Source organism: Homo sapiens, chromosome 18 (assembly GCF_000001405.40).
Source record: "Homo sapiens chromosome 18, GRCh38.p14 Primary Assembly".
Taxonomy (NCBI): Eukaryota; Metazoa; Chordata; class Mammalia; order Primates; family Hominidae; genus Homo; species Homo sapiens.
In genome coordinates, this window is record NC_000018.10 from 51,108,592 (window position 1) to 51,117,821 (window position 9,230).

A 9,230-nucleotide genomic window follows, 5' to 3' on the forward strand; every position below is an offset into this window, starting at 1 on the left:
TTTCCTGTGACAAACCAAGCCCTGAGAGCTTTGGTTTTAATTGACAGTGAGACCACAGGTACATTGCCCTTCACTGCTGTTACGGGTTGAATGGTGTCCCCCTAAAAGAGATGTTATTCTAACCCTTAGTACCTGTGAATGTCACATTATTTGGAAACAGGGTCTTTGCAGAAGTAATCAAGTTAAGATGAGGTCATTAGGGTGGGCCTCAGTTCACTATGACTGGTGTCCTTAGAAAAAGAAAAGATACAGATTGACACCAGGGAGAGCACCATGGGAATATATTTTTTTTCTCTGTCGGCCAGGCTGGAGTGCAGTGGCGCGACCTCAGCTCACTGCAACCCTCACCTCCTTGGGTTCAAGTGATTCTCGTGCCTCAGCCTTTCAAGTAGCTGGGATTATAGGTGCCTGCCACTATGCCTGGCTAATTTTTTGTATTTTCAGTAGAGACAGGTTTCACTATATTGGCCAGGCTGGTTTCAAACTCCTGGTCTCAAGTGATCCACTCCCCTTGGCCTCCCAAAGTACTAGGATTATAGGCGTGAGCCATCCAGCCTGGGGTCATTCATTCTTCAAGTGTGCAGCGTGTGCCCACTGTGAACCAGGCTTTGTGCTGGGGGCTGCAGGTGGACTCTCTGCTGAGCAAAATGGTAGCTGACTTAATGCCCTGGCAGGCTGCTTTCTTTAAGGAGAAATTATTATAGTATTGGGCCAAGCCAGGCCACATTGCAGTGTCCTTAAGGGAACCCGCTGGGAATGCAGATCCTTGGCCTGCAGAGGCCAAGGCTGAGGGGCACATGCGGTGGGATCAGAGCAAGTCGGAGGAACACCCAGGGCGGAACTGGGGCAGGAGGACTTAGCTGTCACCTCTGGTGAGCTGGAAGTACCTGTCCTTGGTACACTGAAAACCAACCAAAGGACTACTCAGACAGGAGGGAGAGTAAAGGTGCGAAATATTCCACCGTGGGTGACCACACTACCACAATAATACGTCTTCCTACAGGTTTACAGGAATCAGTAACTGAACGTTCAGGTGTCAGATTAAGAGATTATGGCATCTGTCCCTCCCGAGGTCAAATCTTAGCTCTGTTACTGTGTGTTGGAACTTCACAACGTTTTTAACTTTGAAAGACGCTGTATCTTCATCTGTAAAACACTGACGGAAATACCTAACTTCTTAGGTTTGGCGTGAGCATAAAGTGAGAAAAGTGTACGTAACGATCTTAACGATATGACTGGAGCCTGGAAAGGCATTCCTGAGACCTCGCTACCGAAAGTGAAAGGGACGCATAATGGAAAAGTGTTAAGTCTGGGAGATGTCCGTGGCCTTTGAAGTGGACACGCCGGTCATAAACTTGGCCTAGAGGGACTGTTCAGTGTCCTGTTTGGGGAATGGTGGCCTCCTCCAAGGCTCACCACCGCGGCAGGTGTGGTCCTGGCTCTGCAGGTGAAGGGAGCTCCAGATTCTAGGTGTGGAGCGAGCCCTTTGCGAGGTGACAGCGCGAGGTCCCCTCAATGCACTGGGGAGGCGGATTTTCCCAGCGAGAAGGGGCTAGCAGGAGCTGCGTTTATTGTGAAGGCCCACAGGTAACGGGGCCATGCACCCCAGGGCGAGACTGGAGTTAAAGGTGGGCGGCAGTCCCTGGTATTCAAGGCCACCTAAGACACCCTGGACGGTGGACCCTGGGAAAGAGCCGGGGTGCCCCCGCCCTGGCCAGGGTTTGCCCCTTGTGGGGCGGAGGGAGCTGGGGCAAGCAGCGCTGACGGTAGCCTGGGAACTGGGCCAGGGTCTGCAGGGCGGGCTGGGAGCAGGGCAGGAGGGAGGAGAGGGAAGAGGGCAGTGGGGTCAGAGGGCCCCAGCGCCTGCCCCGGGCTGGGGATACCACGCAGCCGAGTTCCCACGGCCACCACTGGGTGTCGCCCTTGCCCCGCGAAGGGAGCAGGCGCGCGTTTCCCGAGGCGCCTCTGTCCTCCCAGCTCCTCCGGGCTAGATAGACAATGTCCCGGGACCCAGGTGGGCGTAGTGGACCAAGCCCGGAGTCGTCAACCGCAGTCCCTGAGGGGCTGGCCCTGTGCAGAGCCCGAGGCTGGGTGGGCTTGGACCGCTGCCTTCAGAGAGCCCGCCAGGCCCAGCCTTGCCCGGACGCTCCCAGCACCTGGATTCTGCGGAGTCTGGATCTTCACTGTGAGGCTGCCGGGCCCTCCAGGAGACATCCTGTTGTGTCCAGAATTGGTGGGTTCTTGGTCTCACTGACTTCAAGAATGAAGCCGCGGACCCTCGTGGTGAGTGTTACAGTTCTTAAAGGCGGTGTGTCCGGAGTTTGTTCCTTCTGATGTTCGGATGTGTTCGGAGTTTCTTCCTTCTGGTGGGTTCGTGGTCTCGCTGGCTCAGGAATGAAGGTGCAGACCTTCGCAGTGGGTGTTACAGCTCTTAAGATGGCGCATCTGGAGTTGTTCGTTCCTCCCGCTGGAGTTGTTCGTTCCTCCCAGTGGGTTCGTGGTCTCACTGGCTTCAGGAGTGAAGCTGCAGACATTCGTGGTGAGTGTTACAGCTCTTAAAGGCAGTGTGGACCCAAAGAGTGAGCAGTAGCAATATTTATTGCAAAGAGCGAAAGAACAAAGCTTCCACAGTGTGGAAGGGGACCCAAGTGGGTTGCCACTGCTGGCTCAGGCAGCCTGCTTTTATTCTCTTATCTGGCCCTACCCACATCCTGCTGATTGGTCCATTTTACAGAGAGCTGATTGGTTTGTTTTACAGAGAGCTGATTGGTCCGTTTTGACAGGGTGCTGATTGGCGCGTTTACAATCCCTGGGCTAGACACAAAAGTTCTCGGTGTCTCCACTAGATTAGCTAGATACAGAGTGTCAACTGGTGTGTTTACAAACCCTGAGCTAGACACAGAGTGCTGATTGGTGCATTTACAAACTGTGAGCTAGATACAGAGTGCCGATTGGTGCATTCACAATCCCTTAGCTAGACATAAAGGTTCTCCAAGTCCCCACCAGATTAACTAGATACAGAGTGCCAACTGGTGCCTTCACAAACCCTGAGCTAGACACAGGGTGCTGATTGGTGTGTTTACAAACCTTGAGCTAGATACAGAGTGCTGATTGGTGTATTTAGAATCCCCTAGCTAGACATAAAGGTTCTCTAAGTCCCTACCAGACTCAGGAGCCCAGCTGGCTTCACCCAGTGGATCCCGCACCGGGGCCGCAGGTGGAGCTGCCTGCCAGTCCTGCGCCATGCGCCTGCACTCCTCAGCCCTTGGGCGGTCAATGGGACCAGGGGCCGTGGAGCAGGGGGCAGCACTCGTCTGGGAGGCTTGGGCCATGCAGGAGCCCACGGTGGCGGGGCGGGGGAAGGCTCAGGTATGGCAGGCTGCAGGTTCTGAACCCTGCCCCGCAGGGAGGCAGCTAAGGCCTGGTGAGAAATCGAGCACAGCAGCTGCTGGCCCAGGTGCTAAGCCCCTCACTGCCCAGGGCCAGCAGGGCTGGCTGGCCGCTCCGAGCATGGGCCCCCCAAGCCCACACCCACCCGGAACTTGCGCTGGCCTGCAAGCACTGTGCACAGCCCTGGTTCCCACCCGTGCCTCTCCATCCACACCTCCCCGCAAGCTGAGGGAGCTGGCTCTGGCCTCGGCCAGCCCAGGAAGGGGCTCCCACAGTGCAGCAGTGGGTTGAAGGGCTCCTCAAGTGCCACCAGAGTGGGTGCCCAGGCAGAGGAGGCTCCGAGAGCGAGCGAGGTCTGCGAGGGCTGCCAGCATGCTGTCACCTCTCAATCCCCCCTCTAAACAGGACACCCCAACTGCTGTTGGGAATTTGGCCGATGACCGCTCTAGCTACTTCCTGCTGGATAGGGGCAAAGAAGGGGCCCTGCAGTTGTAGTGTCCTCCAGAGGGGAACTCTCTAGGCCAGTGGAAGTGCCAGTGGGTTGGTCCATGGGTCCTTGGTAGAAGTTGTTAGTTGAACTCATTTGGAGTTCCATTTGTAAGACCATCTGTAGCTTGATGGCCTCAATTCTAGAGGAAACAAATTTGACAAGAAGGTTAAAAATACAAGGCCTGAAGGCGAGTAACAGCAAGATGGCTGCCACGGGACCTAGAAAGGGGAGAAGCCATGTTGCCCAAAGGTTGGTATAAGAGTTTGAAAGGCGTCTGATTTCAGAAGCCTTTTCTTGTAAACGCCGGGCGGCAAATCGTACTATCCCTGACTGGTTAGTGTAAAAACAACACTCTTCCCCTAAGAAGGTGCAGAGTCCTCCTTTTTCAGCAGTGAAGAAGTCTAGGCCTCAGCGGTTTTGGAGAGTCACTGCTGCCAAAGAGTCTATTTGGGATTGTAAAGTAAGAATAGATTTTGTTATTTCTTGCAAACTGTCTGAGAAATCCTTTGAGAGTGTGTGGTAGTAGGATAATGAAGTAGATAAACCGGCTATTCCCCTTCCTGTAGCAGTAGCCATTCCTAACCCTATAAGTAGGGGTATTAGTTGTATGGCTCTGCACTGACGGACTTGAGCTTTGAGGGGTACTGATAAGGTCTGATTTCCTGGGGCAATGTTAATGTTGGGACTTAGAAAGACTAAGGTGCAGGTGCCTGTCCAGTTAGTGGGGAGGCAGATATAGGTCGATCTTCCACATAGAAAAATATGCCTTGGCTGGGTAAACAGAACTTTACCCTGGCTTTTAAAGGAATAGGGTACACTGTTTTTCTCTTTACTACTTCCATCTCTCTTTCTATCTCTTTGACTTCTTCTTTGTCTCTTTCTCTGACTTCCTGTCTCTTTCTCTCTTTCCTTTGACTCCTTCTCTTTGTCTCTATTTCTTCCTCTTTCTCTGACTTTCTTTTTCTCTCTTTCCTTCTTGCTGGTCTGCCAGCTGCTTAGCTGCTGTTCTCCCCTCTTCTTCCCATTTTGATGGCTTTGGCAGTGTAAGAGTGCCACCTCCTTGTGTTTTTGCAGTGCGTGCAATAACTCTATAATTTCCTTGTGGTATTTAATTGGGGTCCCCCCAGAGCTTAGGAGCTCCCATTTTTTCCATATTGCAGCATGGGCATGTAGGATTAAATAAGCATACTTGCTGTCTGTATACACATTTATTCTTTTTCCCTTTTCCAGTTCTAAGGCTCGGGTAAGTGCCACTAGTTCCGCTAACTGGGCACTGGTCCCTGGGGGAAGAGGCTTACTTTCAAGTATGGTTACATCACTATGGCGTAACCTGCCCTTCATATCCCATTCTCCACAAATGAACTTCCATTGGTATATAGGTTAAGGTCATGATTAGTTAAGGGGACTTCTAAGAGATCATCTCGGGTGGCATAAGTCTGGACTACAATTTGTTGGCAGTCATGCTCGATTGGTTCCCCATCCTCTAGGAGAAAAGTGGCAGGGTTGAGGGCCACGCAGGTGCCTATTTGAACCACCAGTCCCTCAAGGAGTAGTGCCTGGTATCTAAGTAGGCGGTTGTCTGATAGCCATAAACTTCCTTTGGCACCTAGTATGCCATTTACATCATGAGTAGTCCAGACAGTGTGATCCTTTCCTTGTATTATTTTGATAGCCTCTGACACTAAGATGGCCACTGCTACAACTACCCTTAAACAGTGAGGCCAGGCTTTTGCTACTACATCAATTTCCTTACATAGGTATGCCACTGGTTGTGGGGTTGTCCCACGAGTCTGAGTAAGGACTCCTAGAGCTATCCCGGCTCTCTCTGTGATGTATAATGAGAAGTTTTGTCCTGTGGGAAGGCTTAAAGCTGGAGCTTGTACTAGGGCCTGCTTTAAGGTTTTGAAGGCTGTTTCTGCCTCTGGTTACCATTCTACTAAATGAGTATTTGCCTTCTGGGTTTCCTTGATTAGAGTATAGAGGGGCCTGGCTATCTCGCTGTATCTGGGGATCCATAGTTGACAAAAGCCGGTAATTCCAAGGAACCCCCACAACTGTTTTAATGTCTTAGGGCAAGGATAAGCAAGTATAGGCTGTATTCATTCCTTGCTGAGGGCGCTGGTCCCTCTGGCTAAGATTAGGCCCAGATATTTGACCTGCTGTAGGCAAAGCTGGGCCTTCGACCTAGACATCTTGTACCCTTGATTAGCTAGAAAGTTCAAGAGATCTAGAGTAGCCTGCTGGCACGAGGCTTCCGAACTGGTAGCCAAAAGTAAATCATCCATATATTGAAGGACCAGAGTGCCTGGACTTGAGAAGTGGCCTAGATCTTGGGCCAGTGCCTGACCAAACAGATGAGGGCTATCCGTAAACCCTTGGGGCAAGACCGTCCACGTAAGTTGGGATGTGTGGTCTGTGGGATCCTCAAAAGCAAAGAGGAACTGGGAGTCAGAGTGCAGGGGAATACAGAAGAAGGCATCCTTGAGGTCCAGAACCATGAACAATTCTGCTTCCTCTGGTATTTGAGAGAGCAGGGTATAGGGGTTTGGTACAACTGGATATAGAGGAATTACTGCCTCATTAATGATTCTAAGATCTTGCACTAGTCTCCACTGACCGTTCGGTTTTTGTACTCCTAGAATTGGGGTGTTGCAGGGACTGCTGCATTTCCTTACTAAGCCTTGAGCTTTCAAATGTTTAACAATATTCTGTAATCCTTTATGAGCTTCAGGCCTTAAGGGATATTGCCTTTGATAAGGAAAAATGGTGGGATCTTTTAACTTGATTTGGACTGGGCAGGCAATTTTTGCCTTTCCAAATTGTCCTTCCAATGCCCAGACTTCAGGGTTGATTCCTTCCTCAAGTAGGGGACAACAAATGGGTAACTTGTTCCCCATATTCATGTAGATAATAGCTCCAGCCTTGGCTAATATATCCTTCCCTAATAGGGGTGTGGGACTTTCAGGCATAACAAGAAAGGCATGTGAAAAGAGCAAAGTCTCCCATTTACAACTGAGGAGGTAGGAGAAATACCTGGTTACAGGCTGTCCCAGGATTCCTCGGATGGTAACGGACCTTGAGGACAGTCGTCCAGGACAGGAGATTAACACTAAGAAGGCCATGCCAGTGTCCAGGAGGAAGTCAATTTCCTGGCCCTCAATAGTTAAACATACCCGGGGCTCAGTGAGGGTGATGACATGAGCTGGCGCTTGCCTCAGGCACCCTCAGTCCTGTTGTTGGATCATCTGGTTGGGGGCTTCTGACCCAGGGAAACTTCATCCTCTGGGGCAGTGATTGCCTTGGCATAGTGGACATGGATGAGGGGGCAGCTTGTTTCTCATTGGACAATCTTTTTAAAAGTGTCCTAGTAAACCACACTGATAACAAGCCCTACCAGGTGATTGGCCTGCTCCATTTTCTGTCCTCTCTGAACCTCCAAGGTTTGATTGTCTGAGGGCCATGACTAAGGCTGCGGCCTTTCTCTGATCTCGCTTTTCCTTTTGGGCCTGTGCCTCTTGGTTCCTATTATAGAACACTGAGATTGCCAGGTTTAATAATGCCTCTAGATTTTGTTCAGGGCCCAGGGCTTGCTTTTGGAGCTTTCTTCTGATATCTGTGGCTGATTGGGTAATAAACTTATCTTTTAGAATCAATTGACCCTCGAGTGATTTGGGTGACAGGGGAGTATATTTTCTTAAGGCCTGCCTTAGCTGCTCGAGGAAGGCAGAAGCATTTTCTTCCTTTCCCTGAGTTATGGTGGACATCATTGAATAATTCATGGGCTTTTTTCTAATTCTCCTTAGTCCTTCTAGAACACAGGTCAACAGATGTTTACGACTCCAGTCCCCATGATCTGAGTCAAGGTCCCAGTGGGGATCCATACTGGGGTTGGCTTGCTGACCGGTAGGGAATTTGTCCCTTTCTTCAGCTGTCATTCTATCATTTACTTGACTAAGATACCAGGTATCTCCAAACTCTCGGGCTGCAGCTAAAGCCGCATTCTTTTCTTTTTTTTTAAAAAAAAACAAAAAATTTTACTTGTCTTTTCTTTTTTTTTTTTTCTGGTTACTTACTTGTATTTTTTTTTAATTTTTTTTAGTATTTATTGATCATTCTTGGGTGTTTCTCAGAGAGGGGGATTTGGCAGGGTCATAGGACAATAGTGGAGGGAAGGTCAGCAGATAAACATGTGAACAGAGGTCTCTGGTTTTCCTAGGCAGAGGGCCCTGCCACCTTCCGCAGTGTTTGTGTCCCTGGGTATTTGAGATTAGGGAGTGGTGATGACTCTTAACGAGTATGCTGCCTTCAAGCATCTGTTTAACAAAGCACATCTTGCACTGCCCTTAATCCATTTAACCCTTAGTGGACACAGCACATGTTTCAGAGAGCACGGGGTTGGGGGTAAGGTTATAGATTAACAGCATCCCAAGGCAGAAGAATTTTTCTTAGTACAGAACAAAATGGAGTCTCCTATGTCTACTTCTTTCTACACAGACACAGTAACAATCTGATCTCTCTTTCTTTTCCCCACATTTCCCCCTTTTCTATTTGACAAAACCGCCATCGTCATCATGGCCCGTTCTCAATGAGCTGTTGGGTACACCTCCCAGACAGGGTGGCGGCTGGGCAGAGGGGTTCCTCACTTCCCAGATGGGGCGGCCGGGCAGAGGTGCCCCCCACCTCCCAGACGGGGTGGCGGCCGGGCGGGGTTCGCCCCCCACCTCCCGGACGGGGTGGCTGGCCGGGTGGGGGCTGCCCCCCACCTCCCGGACGGGGCGGCTGGCTGGGTGGGGGCTGCCCCCCACCTCCCGGACAGGGCAGCTGCTGGGCAGAGACGCTCCTCACTTCCCAGACGGGGCGGCTGCTGGGCGGAGGGACTCCTCACTTCTCAGATGGGGCGGCCGGTCAGAGACGCTCCTCACCTCCCAGACGGGGTGGTGGTGGGGCAGAGACACTCCTCAGTTCCCAGACGGCGTCATGGCCGGGCAGAGGTGCTCTTCACATCTCAGACGGGGCGGTGGGGCAGAGGCGCTCCCCACATCGCAGACAATGGGCGGCCAGGCAGAGACGCTCCTCACTTCTTAGATGGGATAACGGCCGGGAAGAGGCGCTCCTCACTTCCCAGACTGGGTGACCGGGCAGAGGGGCTCCTCACATCCCAGACAATGGTCGGCCAGGCAGAGATGCTCCTCACTTCCTAGACGGGGTGGCAGCCGGGCAGAGGCTGCAATCTCAGCACTTTGGGAGGCCAAGGCAGGCGGCTGGGAGGTGGAGGTTGTAGCGAGCCGAGATCACGCCACTGCACTCCAGCCTGGGCAACATTGAGCACTGAGTGAGCGAGACTCCGTCT

The 9,230-nt window shown here is 51.6% G+C and overlaps 3 annotated features.

Moving 5' to 3' along the window:
* Positions 1,082 to 1,583: an enhancer, noted in NCBI's record as "H3K4me1 hESC enhancer chr18:48636043-48636544 (GRCh37/hg19 assembly coordinates)". NCBI's record gives its function as "activates a minimal SCP1, AML or CMV promoter by ChIP-STARR-seq in primed H9 embryonic stem cells {active_cell/tissue: H9 hESC(primed)}" and the evidence as "EXISTENCE:reporter gene assay evidence [ECO:0000049][PMID:30033119]".
* Positions 1,584 to 2,083: an enhancer, noted in NCBI's record as "H3K4me1 hESC enhancer chr18:48636545-48637044 (GRCh37/hg19 assembly coordinates)". NCBI's record gives its function as "activates a minimal SCP1, AML or CMV promoter by ChIP-STARR-seq in naive H9 embryonic stem cells {active_cell/tissue: H9 hESC(naive)}" and the evidence as "EXISTENCE:reporter gene assay evidence [ECO:0000049][PMID:30033119]".
* Positions 1,826 to 1,935: a silencer, noted in NCBI's record as "silent region_9462". NCBI's record gives its function as "represses an Ori minimal core promoter by ATAC-STARR-seq in GM12878 lymphoblastoid cells {active_cell/tissue: GM12878}" and the evidence as "EXISTENCE:reporter gene assay evidence [ECO:0000049][PMID:35858748]".